At 37.6% G+C, this 18,092-nt stretch overlaps 1 protein-coding gene across 9 annotated transcripts in view; it reads left to right on the top strand.

Moving 5' to 3' along the window:
* Positions 1 to 18,092, top strand: part of CERS3 (ceramide synthase 3) — a 144,289-nt gene that overhangs the window by 48,226 nt on the left and 77,971 nt on the right. For all 9 annotated transcript variants that reach the window (NM_178842.5, NM_001290343.2, XM_011521357.3 and 6 more), the window contains 4 exons: positions 5,527 to 5,641; positions 11,790 to 11,908; positions 16,412 to 16,469; positions 16,980 to 17,030. In NM_178842.5, the coding sequence (NP_849164.2) occupies positions 5,527 to 5,641; positions 11,790 to 11,908; positions 16,412 to 16,469; positions 16,980 to 17,030 (343 nt within the window). The remainder of the gene's footprint in view (positions 1 to 5,526; positions 5,642 to 11,789; positions 11,909 to 16,411; positions 16,470 to 16,979; positions 17,031 to 18,092) is intronic.

The raw sequence follows: 18,092 nt of genomic DNA, 5'->3' as shown, positions 1-18,092 counted from the left end.
TTAAGTGAAATCATATAGATTATGGTCTTTTGTGTTCGACTTCTTTCATTAAGCTTAATGCTTTTAAGATTTTTTTCATGTTATGTATATCAGTGGTTCCTTTCTATTGCTGAATAGTCTTTCAACATACATATATACTATAACTTGTTTATCCTTTAGTTGATGGGAAGAAATTTGTGTTGCATACAGTTTTAGGCTGTTATGAATGAAGTTACTATGAACAATTTGAGTACAAGAATTTGTGCAGATATATGCTTTTATTTCTCTTGGCAAAGAGCTAAAACATTTGCTCTTCAAGGCACTGTTAGTGTATATCCCTACAATAGAATATTGTTCTGCAATGAAGAGGAATGCACTACAAATACATGCCGTGACATGAGTGAGCCTCAGAAACATTCAGCTCTGTGAAAGAAGCCAGACACAAGTGACCACATATTGTATAATTTCATGTATATTAAATATTCAAAAAGGCAAACTAGAAAAACAGAAAATAGATGAGTGGTTGCCTGGGGCAGGTGCAAGAAGAAACAGAGATTAACAATAGACATGAATGATGGAAATGTTCTAAGGCTGATTCATAGTAATGGTTGTACAACTTAGTAAATGTACTAAGAAGTCATTTTATATATTAAAAATTGTATACTTGAAAATATTGAATTATATGATATGCAAAATACCTTACTAGTTATCTTTTTAGGAAACATTACTGTAAATAAAATAAAAAGGCAAGCCACAGACTGGGAGAAATTATATGTAAAACATATATCTGATAAAGGACTTAAATTCAGAATATATAAATAACTCAGAACTCAATAATAAAAAGAAATAACTTGGTTTTAAAAATAGGCAAAAGATTTGAGCAAATACTTCATCAAATAAGATATACAAATAGAAAACAAGCACATGGAAAGATGCTCAACATTATTAGTCATTAGGAAAATATAAATTAAAACCACAATGCACTGGATTAGCAAAAATGTCAGAGTAAGAACCTCTGAAAATTCTTTCTTCCATAAAAGCAACCAGAAAACTAGCAAAAATTGTCACAGTCAGTTTTTTTCAGAATTGAGAATCAGCCAAAGGCTTACAGGGATGTAGGAGTTGTTATTTAAGAAAAACAGCAGATTCTTGGAAGGAATAGCAAGCTGTGTGACATTTTTAACTTGCCCTGTTCCCATCTTGCCCTCTCCATCTCTGGATAGCCTTGAAGAACCAATGGCCCACAATTACAGTGGAAACTAGCAACCTGGCTGCCACTGAAAGGAGCAGAACAGAGTAGAAGCTCCTTCAAAGCTCATTATCAGGGGACTGTCACTATCTGACCTGTCTGATGGTTCTCTGGAAGGCACTACTCACAATGCTGTCTTTATCTGACCTGACTCAGCGCTCACCCAGTGAAAAAGCCTTTTCCCTGAGGGTGTTTGTCTAAAACAATTAGAGGCACTTGATTAACTTCATAACTGTCTAAGACAGTGGATAACAATTAGGGCAAACAATAAAATGACCAAAAAGCTTTAAAGGAAAACCTAGAACATGAGATGTGCATTGAAGGCTTTGAAAAACTCCAACATGTTCTTGGAAATCTAGAAGACCTGTGTAAGGGTTAATGCATGTTCATGGCTATCTGCATGCTCAGGAAAGACCTGGGAAGGCCATAAGCTCTCACCTCTGAATGACCTTTAGGCTCTGTGCAAACATTAAGTGAAGGCTAAGGCAGAGTTGCTTACTGCCTAGCTAAATGTTGAAGGTGTGCTCCAACATATGCACAGAGCTCCTCAGGAAAGACTGAGAGACTTACTGGTTCTAAGCATTTAAGGAAATCTCTGTCTAATCATTAGCTGACCACTAAGCTAACCTAATAAAGCCTTCAGTGCTCACACATCACAAAGAAGACTTTACAGATTAATTCAAAAAAGGTGACTAAGCCTCACGTCTGTAATCCCAGCACTTTGGGAGGCCAAGGCGGGTGGATCATGAGGTCAGGAGATCGAGACCATCCTGGCTAACATGGTGAAACCCCATCTCTACTAAAAATAAAAAAAATTAGCTGGGCGTGGTGGTAGGCACCTGTAGTCCCAGCTACTCAGGAGGCTGAGGCAGGAGAATGGCATGAACCTGGGAGGTGGAGCTTGCAGTGAGCTGAGATCATGCCACTGCACTCCAGCCTGGGCGACAGTGCAAGACTCCATCTCAAAACAAATATATATATATATATATATATATATATATATATATATATATATATATGAAAAGAAAAAAGGTGACTAAGCAAACAAATGGACAATGACAAATAGCAAAAACAACAAACTTTGGGGAGGAGAAATAATCTGATTTTTATAGTTGCCACCTTATAGTATTTAACATGTCCAATTTTCAACAAAAACTTATGAGACATGGAAAGAAACAAAAAATTATGCACTATACACAGGAAATATAGCAATTATTGCAAGTGTTTCTGAGAAAGCCTAGATAGTGGACTTATTAGAGGCTTTAAGTCAACTATTTTAAATATGTTCAAAGAACTGGAGAAAAACATGCTTAAGATCTAAAGGAAAGCATGAAAACAGTGTCTCACCAAATCAAGAACATCAATAAAGTAATTGAAACTATAAATTATAACAAAGAACCAAATAGAAGTTCTAGGGTTGAAAACTACAATGACTGAAATCAAAATTTCATGAGAGAGGCTCAATAGCATATTTGAGCAGGCATAAGAAAGAGTCAGCAGTGTGAGGAACAGCAAAATAAAAGAGAATGAAGAAAAATAGTCTTAGAGACTTGAATACCAACATACACATAATGGGAATTCCAGAAGGAGAGAAGAGAATAAATAGGACCCCAAAAATGTGAAGAAATAAATGGCCGAAAATTTCCCTGAATTCTGAATCTGCATATCCAAAAAGCTAAACAAACTCCCAGTATGATACATTTAAAGAGAACTACATCTACATATGTCATAATCAACTTGTCAAAAGCCAAAAAGAAAGAATCTTGAAGGCAGCAAGAGTGGAACAACTCATCACATACAAGGAATTCTCATTATGATTAGGAATCGATTTCTCATCAGCATCTATGTAGGCCAAAGGCGGCGGAATGACACATAAAAAGTGCTGAAAGAAAAACACTGTGAACCAAACAAAACTCTCCTTCAAAATGAAAGAGAAATTAAGACATTCTCAAATAAACAAAAACCAAGAGAATTCATTACTAGTGGGCCTAGCATACAAAAAGTTTGAAAGGAAGTCCTTCAGACTGAAATGAGAGTACACAAGATAGTAACTCAAATCCACATGAAGAAATAGCACCAGTAAAAGTAACTACATAAGAAAATAAAATGATAGTATAAGCATATTTTTTGTTTTTAACACTTTCTCCTATCTGATTTAAAAGGCAATTGTATAAAACAATAATCTAAATCTGTGTTGATCAGAACACAATTTATAAAGATGTAATTTGTGAGACAAGAGCACAAAGAAGGGGACGGGGAATGGAGTTTTTTAACCCTATTGAAATTAATTTGATATTAATCTGAAGTAAGATGTTATAAATTAATATGTCAATTATAATCCCCAAGTGAATCACTAAGCAAATAACTTTTAAAATAGTAAAAAACCAAAAAGACAAGAAAATTAAAATGGTCCATCAGAAAATATCTATTTAACACAAAATAAGGTAGTGATGGACAAATAAACAAAAGGGCATAAGATGTATAGAAAACAAATAGCAAAATGGCAGACATAAATCCTATTTTATCAGGAATTACTTTAAATGTAAATGGATTAAATAATTAAAGGCATAGATAAAATAGTTAGGAAAACACGATCCAACTATATGTTGTCCACAAAAGACACCTGTTTGTTTAAAGACACAAATAGGTTGAATGTAAAAGGATGGAAAAAGATATACCATGCAAACAGTAACTAAAAGAGGACTGGAGTAGCTGTACTAATATCAGACAAAATGTAATTTAATAGATTTCAGAATTGTTACTGCAGACAAAGGACATTTTATAATAATAAAAGGGTAAATCTGTCCAGATGATATAACAATTGTAAACATATACACACTTAGCAACAGAGTTCCAAAATACGTGGAGTAAAAACTGACAGAATTAAAGGGCAATCAGGCAAGTCAACAATAATAGTTGTAAACTTCAATACTCACTTTCAATAATTGATAGAACAGCTAGGCAGAAGATTATCAACAGGGAAATAGAAGACTTGAACAATATTGTAAACCAGCTAGTCGTAACAAACATCTATAGAACACTCTACTCAACAACACCAGAATACACATTCTTCTCACATGCACAAAAAACATTCTCCAGCATGATTACATATTAGGCTACAAAACAAGTCTCAATAAATGTGAAAGGATTTAGATAGAAAGTATGTTTTCCAACCACAATGAAATAAAATTAGAAATCAATAACAGCCAGGCACAGTGGCTCATGTCTGTAATCCCAACACTTCGGGTGGCTGAGACAGGAGGATCACTTAAGACTAGGAGTTGGAGACCAGCCTGGGCAACATAGCAAAACCCTCATCTCTTAAAAAAAAAAAAAGAAATCAATAACAGAAAGAAATCAAGAAATTAACAAATACATGTAAATTAGATAACATATTTCTAAATAACCAACCAGTCAGGGAAGAAATCACAAGGTAAATTTGCAAATACTTGAGATGAATGAAAAAGAAAATGCCATACTAAAACTTAATAGAATACAGCAATAGCAGTGTTTGAAGGGAAACTTACAGCTGCAAACACCTATATTTAAAATGAAGAAAGACCTCAAATCAATAATGTAAAGTTCCACCTTAACGGACTAGAAAAATAAAATCAATCTAAATTTAAAGCAAGTAGAAGATAGGAAATAATAAAGATTATAGTGGAAAATCAACAAAAACCACTACACACCCAGTAGAATTGCCAAGGCTGACAGTACCATGTGTTGGCAGGGATATGGGCTAACTGGAACTCTGACAAATTATTGGTGGGAATGCAATATAGTACAGTCACTTTGGAAAACAACTTGCCAGTTTTTTATAAAGTTAAATGTATAATTGCCCTACCACCCGTCAATCCTATTATTACGTATTTGCCCTAGAGTTGTGCCATTTTTTCGTATGTTAGAACTTGAAATGGGAATGTAGTAATTTCTTTAAGATAATAACACCAAATAAAACATTTTCTAACAAAATTCCTATTTATTTTAATCCCCGGGAGTCTTTAAAATTCTAAGTAGAACAGCTTATTCTAATTCCTAAATCTTATCTATAAATATGTTTGGATTAACATAAAATGCATTTTAGAATTGTGCAAGTGTTTTTTTTTTAATCATTGCTTTTTTGTATGGACTGAAACTTTTCTGTTTTGAGAGACAGATTTTGGCTGTACGTAGCCCCAGTGTCAACATAAACAAATGACTGATTTCATTAGAAACCTGAAGTTACAGCTTTAATTTTCTGGTGTCATCGTGGATTTATTCTTAGATTTTGAACTTTTTTTCTTTTCATATTTTTGTAGATTTGTTGCTTCACCTCTAGCAAAATCATTTGGCATTAAAGAGACAGTTCGAAAGGTTACACCAAATACTGTCTTAGAGAATTTTTTCAAACATTCCACAAGGCAACCATTGCAAGTAAGTACAAATTCTTTGCTTTTCGACTTAAAAATCTTCTTTCTTAATGGTTCAATTATCTATAGCTTACCTTGTGTGTGCAAGAAATCTATTCTAGTTGACCAGCAAATGATCTGGATTCACTTGGATTTATTGTTTCTTTGTTCTGTTGACAGGTTTAGAACATCCCAAGTGTGATACATATGATAATATAAAATAACAAATATTAACAGTTGAACTATTGTATTTAACTATAGTGTAGAGCACTAATGATCAGTGCCATAATTTGGGAATAAAGGTCAACATTTAATTTTTAATGGTCAAATATATACAAAGTATACAGATGAAGAAATATAATTGTTAGGGCAGAGAAGCCCATATCTGACAATTTTGATGATTGTGGCATCATCAAAATACATTACACACATTATGAAAATGTTCATTGGGGTCGCTTTCATGAGTAGGACTGTTATTTTATTCAAAGCCTCAACATACTCAGAAATATGCTGTGCCCCGACTATTCTCCAGAGACAATTTCTAAGAGTCACAGTTCTCTTCACAATATAAAGTTTCCTTCATTTATGTTGTAGTGCACTGCATGCTTAAATACATTCAGAAAAAGAAAAAAGAAAAAGTTTTTAATCTAATAGTTAAAAAAATAATGTCTAAGTAAGTCTAGTGTTCACTCCAGTTTTGTTATATTTCCACAGTTAAAATGACAGATGAAACAAAACTTCTCCAAAAGTGATACAACCTCTATGATGAATACAAACAGCTATCCCCAGTAATTTTAAAAATCAAGTACATATGCTAACACAGTTCTAGGATAAATAGATTTCTGAGGGTCCTGAACTTTATTTCCTGAATTAAGTTGCCTCTACTATGACAATTGCTCTAATTTGTTCCTCGTGGTTTCTCTGCACATGAAAGCACATTGAGGTTTGACCACCTCGCGTGAGATATGGTGTCCAGAATTGCTCATAGCAAGTGAGAGCTGGCTCTAACTTGTTCTGCCCTCAGCTCCTGTATTTGACTGCTTTTGTAACCTAGGAATAGTCTGACAAGCCATCTTTATATGTTTTTTATTCCCATGTGCTTTAAATGACTGCCATCATTCATCTAAATCCTTTTGTTACCACTGGTGATAATAATACCTAAGCATCCCTTTATATGTTTCAAATGGGAAATTATTTAGCTGTGTTTAAAAAAAGATAGGGCTCTTTCTGGGTCCTTTATTATCCTTCTTTGTTTGGGAACAACTAACTTTAGTAATACTTTGTATAAAATGGGAAGAACAGTGCTATAATACCAATTCGTTGCTATCCTTGCTATTGCTAAGAGCTTCTAGTCAGCTTTTCAGAATATTTAAAATTATCTAGAAAATTTGGTCCTTACCAAGCTTCTCTGCTATGGAGAAAAAATGGCCAAAGGAAAACTAAGGATAGCTGAAAAGGTTTATAGGGTGGTAGTCTTTCTTTTTCATGATTAAGATGAGGAAACTTAAGGCCCAGCCAAAGGAAAATGAGTGGTCGTTCGGCTAATGAGTGGCTGAATCAAAAGCTAGAACCTGGCCCATACTTCCAGTCCAGTGACCTTTCCACCATGCTACAGTGAGTTCTTTATCTGTAAATGGAATGTTAAAAATATATTTTAAAGACTGGTGCTGTGTTTATAGTAATTATTCTAACTCAACTGACATTACAGTATGGTTTAATAAAGACAGAATTTTGACATTTGCATCCAGTAAGAAGGAAAAAAAAAGTGGCTGGGCGCAGTGGCTTACGCCTGTAATCCCAGCACTTTGGGAGCCCAAGGTGGGTGGATCACGAGGTCTGGAGATCGAGACCATCCTGGCCAACATGGTGAAACCCTGTCTCTACTAAAAATACAAAAATTAGCTGGGCGTGGTGGCGAGTGCCTGTAATCCCAGCTACTTGGGAGGCTGAGGCAGGAGGACAGCTTGAACCAGGGAGTTGGAGGTTGCAGTGAGCCAAGATTGCGCCACCACAGTCCAGCCTGGTGACAGAGTGAGACTCCATCTAAAAAAAAAAAAAACAGTTATATATCACCCCCGAAGTGTTAGCTTCATCTATTGAACCAAAAAGGTGAAGGAATATAAGATTCCTAAATTATATTGCTCTGAGATTAAAAAACTGAGGCAGTATTCGTATAGTATATCAAGATAACAATAATTTGGCCAGCAAAATGTCCATAGCCTAAAAGCACTAGGACTTAGGAAGATAGAATGTAATACAGGAGGACAGAGTTCATGACTTAATAGCAATTGCAGATACAGAAACAAACTCGTCTCACCATACCTACCACATTAACCTGGCCAGTGTCATGCAGATAGCACTTTGCTTAATTATGGCTGAGGTAATAAGACAAGTTGCTGGGTGGATGAAAAACAGTTTTGTACTGATTCAAGATTAGGGTATTACCACTAAAAAAAAGTATTCAAAACCTAAACAGTAGAATATTGCATTGGTAATATTTGTAGATAACACCTGACTTGATTGAAACAATGGAGTACACAGACCCAAGGATGCTTCTTCAGCAGCTATAGGCTGCACCAGGAAAACAAAACACTTCCATGCATATGACATCTACTGTGGGCTGGTTAGCACAGAAGGGCATAACATGGTATTGATGAGGCCTAAAATACTATACACATGAGCCTCAGTGAGAGTTTTGGTCTGTGATATTGCACAGTTCTCTTATGATTGTATCTATGCAGGTGTGTGTCTGATAACGTGTGTATGTGTGCGTATCAAGAACAACTTCCAGATGTTTGGGGTAAGACCAACAACTCTGACCAACAGATCAATTATAGTGCTATAGGTAACGTGTAGTAACAGTGGAACTTATTATCTAGCCCTTTCCTTAGCAAAATAAAAAATAATTATATATATATGAACTGATGCAGAGCAAGTAAGTTCTGGAAGAGATCTGAAGAAAACGTGGCACTGTGAGACTGAACTCAAGCCAGTTACTACATTCAATAAAGGTATTCCAGTGTGCTAGCTTGAGTCATTCATAGATTCAAACATTTTTAGAGCAAAAACCTCTTCTAGTGCTATTTATTGTACAGGGAAGACATGTGAGAGCCAAAGAGGTAGGGTGACTCCTCTACTGGCACAGAGGGTTCCCTTTTCAGTCCAGAGGCCAGGTCTCTTGGCCCCATTCAGCACTCCTCCTTTAGGCCATTCGACCTCTCCTTGAGGCTGTGTCTGAGAGAGACCTTTCCTGCATGTTCCAACCCACTTCTGAATGTTCACAGCAATAGGTAGTGTAGAGGCTAAAAATACAAATTGTGAGGACAGACCATGTAAGGTTAGAGCCTGGCTCTGTCACCGACTTTCTGTGTGGAGATGGACAGATTAAACTTCCCATGCCTCAGTTTCCTCTTCTGTGAATTGAGCATAATTATATTGCTTATCTCATAGGGCTCTTGTGAGGATCAAATTGAGTTAATACATATAAAGTGCTTAGAATAGTGCTTGGCACATAGTAGATGCTCAGTAAAGGTCAGCTATTATTATTTGTACCATTAACTTTGTGCCTGTCATGCACTGACTTCCAAAGGAGCGTGTTTAAGCATGTCTTCCTCACTCAAGGGAATTGTCACTTTGTTTCTTAATCATGCTTGTTTTTGTTCCCATGACATCTTGCACTATTTTCTGGTCATTACAGATGGTCAATAAATGCTTCATGTTTCACACATTAATTCAAGAAAACACTTTTAGACACTTTTGTTTGCAAGGAGTTTTCTCTCTTAATAATATCATAGTGCATGAGGCCAGTATTGACAAGACTGACTTCCAACTAGATTCTTCTGTACTCCAAAATAGAAAAAAAAAGCTTCGACTCATAAACAGTTACTGTCTTCTATATATGTTTATTAATAATTCATTGGGCAATTATTTGCAGAAGTCATGGGAGAATAAAATTGAGTTGTTCTAAGGTCTGAGAATATTCCAGAATAAAGACAAGGACTTTAGTTTGTTTTGCTCACTACTGAATCTCCCACACCTAGATGGTGCCTGGCACCAGTGCTTAGAGACTCTTTAAATCCTTTCAAATGAATGAATGGCAAAACACTTGAAATAGTAAAGCTAGGCCCAGAGCCCCTTCGGTCTGAGCACACAGAGTGTAGTGCAGCAGCATGCCAGAATATGTCCTGCTGTGCACCAGCCAACAGAATTTGAATTGTATTCTCCATGTTGGGGGTCTGTTCGTGTTTGCAAATTATGTTAAAAGTAAAGGAATACTTTTTTCTTAAATGATTTGTAGTCCATGGTTTCCTTTCTGTGTTTGGTCATCAAAATCTCTAGCACTGACACGGCACTCAGTAGTTTCATTAGCACATTCTAATCCCTTGGTCCTCAAATCATCCCTCGGAGGTGGGTAGCAAACATTCTCTTAATATCCCATTTTCCATGGGGGTCAAAGTGCGGTGCTTACGCCTACATAGCTAGGAGGTAGCAGAACTGGATCTTCTGTTTTCAGCTTCCTGCCCTTCCTACCATATCCGATTGCTTTGACACTGCAGTGTTCTTTCCTTCCTGCAAGGGAACATGTAAGATAATCTAGCAGAAGCTATCCGGCTGGTCACAGACTTTTGGGTATTCAGCCATCTGGCCCACAGGCAGGCTTTATTTGGCCCTCACAATACTCATCCACAATTGGTTTAAATTTACTTTGAGGGATTGGTCAACATTTTTAAAAACCTAGTGATTTCTCATCAAAATCCTGGGTCTGCACGTTTTCTCTGGAAGCGTCCGCCAGATCTTGGTCATGCCTGGCCTTTTGGGACATGATGTGTGCTTCTCTGCCTGCTGTATCCATACGGCTCCCACTTCTTTCCTCAGCACTGAAGCTGAAGGTCAGTTTTATGCCATTTTATTTTTCACAAAATAGAATTAAGAGGAAATGGAAATGTTTCTTTTATTTATTTATGTATTTATTTATTTAGAGATGGAGTCCTTCTCTGTCGCCCAGGCTGGAGTACAGTGTCACAATCTTGGTTCACTGCAACCTCTGCCCCCAAGATTCCAGCAAGTCTCCTGCCTCAGCCTCCTGAGTAGCTGGGATCACAGGAGCCCACCACCACGCCCAGCTAATTTTTGTATTTTTAGTAGAGATGGGGTTTCACCATATTGGCCAGGCAGATCTCGAACTCCTGACCGCCTTCTCGGCCTCCCAAAGTGCTGGGATTACAGGCGTGAACCACCACACCCAGCCAGAAATATTTCTTATTCTTACTTGGGAAATAAGAAATCAAGAGGGCTGGCATTTTTTATGAGCATATTTCTTTGTAGACGTGGAGAAGGTTACCATAGGTTTAAAGTACAAAACTTGCCTATGTTAAAATCCCACTGTGAAACAGACCTGGTCCATTTGGTCATTTATGTTTCTTGTCTGGCTTGGGGAGACCTTCGAATTGGTAACATTTGAGCAGATCTATCATTCATATTGTTTCCAATTTTAAATCATAGCCTACAACTTCTACTTCCCAAAAGAGAAGCAATCATCATCATCATATTTTGCAATTGTTATTTTTGTTATTGAAATTATTTTGGATTAGTTTGAAATAGGCTCTCTATATAATTAAATGTAAAAGTGGATGGCTAACACTGGTTGGAGTTTTTCCTGCATTATCTTCTGGAGCTGTGAGAAAGATCATGTGAAATAACAAAATGCACTAGCCTAAGTTCTCGTCCACACTTTGCTTCTAATTTTAGGTTTTGGACAAGTCACTGAACTTCTTGGGGCTTCAGTTCCCCATAGGAAAAATGAGGAGATTGGATTTTATTGGATTTGATTTAAACTATGCTACTCTACCTGGCGCCTGGGAAGTCCTAAGCACATTTTAGCTGAACAAGTGAGCTCACACATGCAACTTGAATGCCGGGTTGCTGCCAGCGTATGGAGAATTGATCTTTCTCAGTAACTTAGAGAGCTGGGATAGTAACATTTTGTTTTTTGGTATGTGTGCATATATGTGATTCCATAAGCAAAAGAGGTAAATTCCCTGGCTCCAGGTCTCATGACAGAATTTCTCTCATCCCCAGTACCGAAGCTCTTGTAACTCAATCTCCGTCTCTTGTCTGCCTGCCAGTCTGACTCTGTTCTTTATCACTCATTTATGCGTTTCATCCCTTTTCAGACTGATATTTATGGACTGGCAAAGAAGTGTAACTTGACGGAGCGCCAGGTGGAAAGATGGTTTAGGAGTCGGCGGAATCAAGAGAGGCCTTCCAGGCTGAAGAAATTCCAGGAAGCTTGGTAAGGAGGATGGGCCAAGCTTTAGGAATGCTGCCGTCCTATCTGGAGCTGAGTGGTCCTTGCAGAGAGAATACTGCCGGAGCAGCAGAGGGAGGGTTCAGACCCAGCTCTGTCACCCACTGATGTGGTGTTTTAGGCTCCTCACATATTTGCCTTCTCTGCTTCCTCCACTCCTTTATAAATCAAGTAAGCTCTGAACTCTATTTATCGGGCCTCCCGAACCAGAATAGATTCAGACAGACTCCCACACTATGAACTCTCTAAGATGAACAGGAGATGTTATGTACTCAGCCTGAAACCCAGAAAAAATCATAAAAATGTCTTAACTGGTGTTTCTCTTTTCTTAGGGTCAGGGTTGGCCCTAAGTCACCAGACTTTATCACCTGTATCCAACCATCACAACTGTAAGAGCAGAGAATGTCTGCAAGGACGTGTGTTCCCTCTCAGAACACTGAGAAGGCCTCTCTGTGTGGCGTGGCTCATGACCCCAGCCCTCCTGTAGGGTGCACAGCCCATCCTCTTGGTTTCCCAGGATTTTTAGTAGAGGTGGTCAGGAGATCAAGACCATGGTGAGACCCCATCTCTACTAAAAATACAAAAAATTAGCTGGGCGTGGTGGCGGGCGCCTGTAGTCCCAGCTACTCGGGAGGCTGAGGCAGGAGAATGGCGTGAACCTGGGAGGCGGAGCTTGCAGTGAGCCGAGATCCCGCCACTGCACTCCAGCCTGGGTGACAGAGCAAGACTCTGTCTCAAAAAAAAAAATAATAATAATAATTATTATTATTATTGATCCTTCTGCCAATGATGTGAGACAGTCAGGGAAGTTGGGGCTATCCTGTTTCAATGAGAAACTGCACATCCATCTAGTTTAAGGGTCTCTTAGGTGTTTGAATGGCTGTTGCATTCAGATCTTCTGACTCCTATTCCGATACTATTTCTTGTTGTATCATACTGCCCCTGGCACCTAATGCTTACCTCCCAGCAAGCAGAGGATCCTTAAATTGAGTAATATTTGGGCATCTGGCCATGTCAGTAAGCCTACTAAAATTCTTCCAGAGTTCAGGCTGGAGAAGGGAATTTTGAGTTACCCTTATCAATCAGTCAGGCAATGCAGAGGTACAGGTTAGTATCTTTTCTGTGCATAGCACTGTCCTAGATTTTGTGGCGTTCTAGATTTTAAGAAGGGGGTAACATGTGAGTCGTGGTTACCGGCCTTAAACAGTGAATTAGGGAGGCCAGATTATCACACACGAAACCACAACATCTATTGTCGCGCCACCCCAGTGGCACATGGGAGTGTACACCAGCAGATACAACATCATGTTTAGATGTGTCGTGGGAATTTAGAGGTGATGGCATCAGCATGGCTGAAGTAGTTAAAGAAAGGCTTTCTAGAGAAGGGAAGACATAGGTTGGACCTTGAAGAATGGGTCAGGTTGCCAAAAGAAAAGAAAGCAGGTTTGAGGCAGTATTTTCAAGTAAAGCAAAGACACAAAGCAGGAAATTATGCAATATATTCAGGACACAGTAAGTGGGCCCATGAATAAAATTTAAGCCTTATCTTATTCTTTAGCAATGTCACATGTTTATTCTAAGTTAAAAGTTATTATGGACTAGATAAACAGACTAAACCTAGTGCCATGTTGAATTGTACAGGGACTCTGCTTTTTAAAAATCAGCTGTGGGATGTGCTACAGAAATCACAGCATGAGTTACCTAACCTCAAGCCTTTTGAAAATCTCCGGGCGCTTATTTCTTAACCCCAGCTCCTAAAATTACTTTCCAACAGGCAAAAATTCCTTTGTAACATCCAGAGGGATGAGCCCCCAGGCACGTTGGGTTCAGTGTGTTTGTTCCTTGGTGACTTTCTCTCATGGTGACCCTTGTGCTCTATTCCACAGCATTCAGGATTTTAATACATAATGGGCCCTTTTTTTTAAAAAAAAAAAATCAAATTCCACATTAGCTGACCACTTTTTCATTTTAAAATACAGATTTCCACCTAGCAATAAGAAGGAACACCAAGTCCTTAGGTATCCAGGTAGGAGAACTCCTCAGTGTTGGAGAAAGGGCTCTCCCCGGCTGGGTGGATGCGGCCTTACCCTCATCTGATCCATGCAGTCCACGGCCCACTCTATGCAGCGTCCCCACCACAGGCCTCCCATCTGGCCCCAGCAGTGTCTCTCACCACTCTGCCCATTCCTCCCTGGCTGCACCCTGCAGTCCCTCCTTTCACTATCACCATTGTTACCCAACCAATTCGTTTCTGAATGGCTTTTCAGTGGGTTTTCTCTCCCCCCACGTTTATGTTTATCTCATTCTTTCCTGGAAAAAAATAAAAGAAGTTTTACTCTTAGGTGAAACTAGTGAAATGACATTGACAAGGATATTATCATTCATCTTTTCAGTGAAGTGCAGCAATTCTCCAACTTTTTGGTGTCAAGACCCCTTGGTCTCTGAAAAACTCTTGGAAATGCCAAAGAGCATTTGTGTGTGTTATACCTATTGGTATTTACTGTATTCGAAGTGAAAACTGAGATATTTATAAAACAGGAGACTACACAAGCGCACGTTTCATCAGTGCAATTTCATTCAGAGCAATACTGTGATCACATGTCACATGACCTCGCTTGTGAGAGAATGACAGGAAAAAAAGCAAATAATGTGTTAGTAATATTCTGAAAATATTCTGACCTCAGGGTTCTCTGGCACACACTTTGAGAATCCCTGGTTTAGGGCTTCTCTGAGTAGGATTTGTCCAGAAACATGTGAGACTTGGCTGTACTCTTGGATCTGAGTATTACTCCTCAAACTTCCGTAAGTTTTATGATCTTTCTTAGCTTCAATTTCCTTTAGGATATTGGCTGTTAGCAACAGTCTGTAAGAAGGGACTAATTACAGCATCGGCTTCATAATCTTGTGAAAAGAAAAATGTGACATAGCGCATGTGTGCGCAGCACCGTGCCCGATGGAGCTGAGAAATCAATAGATGCTTGGGAAATAAACACCGGGGGAGCACCCACACTTTTGGCTTCATTTGTGGGTTGGCTGGCCTTATCATCTCCTATATTTTGTGGGTTTTGTTTGGACAAGATAATCCAGGGAGCCAAGGAAATGCTCTTAGCAAATCAAATGAGTGCAGTAAAGTTTCAACTTTCATTTTGTAAAATGTCTTTTGGATATTTTTATGGTTCAACTTTTTGACTATTGAACCCTACTTTTTTCTCCTATCAAAACAAGCCATGAAGAAAGACTGTCGTCTAGCTTAGGGGAAATGATAATGTTCAGGAAACACTCCTCGATGCAGAGTCCAAAGAGCTGCACTTCAAGGTGCAGCTTTCCTCCTTCTTAGCTACATGAGCTGGGGAGATGGCTTCATTTTTCTGATTCTGATTCTACATTTACAAAATGGGTATTTATCTACATTCCTATGTCCTATCTTACAGGTGTGTCAAGGAAAGCACTGTAAGGCCTTACACAAAGATAAGAAAACATCTTATTTTAATATTATTATTTCTCCAGCAATCATTAGATAAAATAGACATAACTTTAAAAAACTTTTTATTTGGAACGTTGCAAGCATATATTAAAGTAGAAAGACTGCATAATGAATTAAGTGTTATTACCCATCACCAGCTTTAGTTGATCAACTCAAGGCCAATCCTATGTCCTCTCTATCCCCACTACACCTCTCGCCTACCACAGATAGGTTTGGAAGCAAATATCAGACACTGTTATTTCATTTGTAAGTATTTTAGCATGTATCTCGAAAAGATAAGAACTCTTTATTTTCAGCATAATTGCAATATCAGTATCTTATGATTTTTTATTTAATAAAAGATTTTTACTTAATAATAGAAAATATTCAGTGTTTAGATTTCCCTGATTGTCTCATAATTTTCTTTACAATTTCTTGATTTGAATCAGGATCTAAATAAGATCCATTTGTTACAATTTTTTGATGTGTCTTTCCAGTCTCTTAGTCTACAGGTTTTTCTCCATACATGAGGAAAATCTTCTCTTTCAAAACCTACTTTTAGGAGAAAAGAGTAAAGTCTGGCCACATAAAAACCTTTTAACTGGGAATTAAATGGGGATAAGAGAAATAATTAAACTTATTAGGTTCCTTCCTGATAATGCTAATATCAATCCACTGTTTATTGTGTGCCTGGAACTGGGCTAGCCATTATAACCAGAATAATGGCTGCCATTTATTGTTGCTTACTTTATGCTAGACCTGTTATCACAGATTTTCAGTTCTTTTCACATTTTGAGGTAGTGTTCTTATTCTCATTTTACAGGTAAGAAAGTCAGGCCTTCTGAGGTTACATGATTTACCTAAGGTTGTAACCATCTAATAAGTGGGGCAGAGCCAGGATAGAAACTTTGATTTGTCTGACTCCAGAATGTGTGTTCTTTGTAAAATCTGCCATACCTAATCATTTTCTCCTCAAATCTCAGTTACCTTTACAAGGGAGTAAAGATTTTTCTTTCTTTTGGCAGCTGGAGATTTGCATTTTACTTAATGATCACTGTTGCTGGAATTGCGTTTCTTTATGATGTAAGTTATCTTTTTATATCTTCGATTGGAATTTGTCTTTAATTTTTGAAATTCTTGTCTGTGAATTCCTTTAGGGTATAGTACTTTCAATAAGATAACCAGTTTTAGAGATTTCTCTCAAGATTCAACATTTGTCTCAAATATTGCTACAGATGTCTCAAGATTTTTTTATTGCTGCAGAAGCAATAATACAATTGGTTTAGAAATAATTTGGTTCATACAGTTACTTGTTTGAAACCATTTCCTCTATGAGACAGCACTATTTACTTATCTTAGATTCACTAGTAGTGAATTTCACAGAGATGTTATATAGGAATATGTAAGAAATAGTCTACAGAGGGAGAAATACGTGCAATAGAAGCAAAAGAATATGGCAAAGGTCAATTTCCTGTGCATCTTTGCCTGCTGTAAATGACATAAGGAAGAGCTTAGGTTTTCTGCCAAAATTGACCTTTGACACCGACCAATTTATTTCTCATCTGTTGGCTCTTTTTTTTTTTCTTCTTTCAGAAACCTTGGCTATATGACTTATGGGAGGTTTGGAATGGCTATCCCAAACAGGTAAGTCCACTATAACATATTCCTCCCCTTACTTGAACACCAAGATCCCTCAAATTATCTCCTTAGTTACGTCTTGGTCCCCTGCTACTCTTTGTTCACTACTGTGTCATCCCTGGCACTTTTTCTACTTGAGCTTCCTTATCCTTATTGACCCTCATTTGTCTCATTCCTTTAGTTTGTTTACAGTTAATGTAATTACATATTTGGGTTTAAATCTACCATCTTACTATTTATTTTTTACTTGTACCACCTGATGCATTTTCTTTTGTACTCCCTTCTTGCTTTTCTATGGGACAGTCAAGTAATTAAAAAAAATACTATTCTTTTTCATCCCTTATATTGACTTTTCAGTTACACATGCTTTTGTTCTTCTAGTAATTATCTTGGACATTACTGTATATGTCCTTGACTTATTGCAGTCTGATACAAATCGGTGTTCTTACCTCTTTCCACTCACTGAAAGGTAATTAGAATACACCATACACCCTCCTCCTTCAAATATTTAAAACCTTAGAAGTCATTGCTATTATTGTTCTGTAAATCGGTCAAGTTACCCTTTTTGTGCTATTCCTTGCTTCCTATATTTCCATGTTTCCATCTGGGATTATTATCCTCCTGTCTGAAGAAGTACCTTTGCTATTTTTTTTAATGGTGGGTATGCCAGATTTTGTTTGTCAGAAAGATGTTATACTGCCTTTGACTTTTAAAGGATATTTTTGCTGGGTATAGAATTCTAGATTAGCAGTTTATTTTCCTTCACTTTAAATGATGTTATTTCATTGTCTTCTAGATCTCATCAGTTCTAAAAGAATGTAGCTGTCACTTTTAGTTTTGCTTCTTTGAACATAATGCCTTTTTTCTCTTTTTGGCTGTTCCCCTCATAACACAACCCATGATGTGTGCAGTTATCATCTGACCTTTAGCCCTATGGGGATTAGGGATGGAAGGATTGGCCCAAATACTGATACTCTGGCTACTGCTATTACTGTGAGTCATAAACTACATGCTGTCTACCAAGGTGTCTACTATCTTCTACCAGCATTCATGGAACTTGTGGCTAAC

The sequence above is a fragment of the Homo sapiens genome, chromosome 15, assembly GCF_000001405.40.
Source record: "Homo sapiens chromosome 15, GRCh38.p14 Primary Assembly".
NCBI lineage: Eukaryota > Metazoa > Chordata > Mammalia > Primates > Hominidae > Homo > Homo sapiens.
The sequence above is the reverse complement of the archived record's forward strand: the minus strand, read 5'-3'. Positions and strand labels throughout refer to the sequence as shown.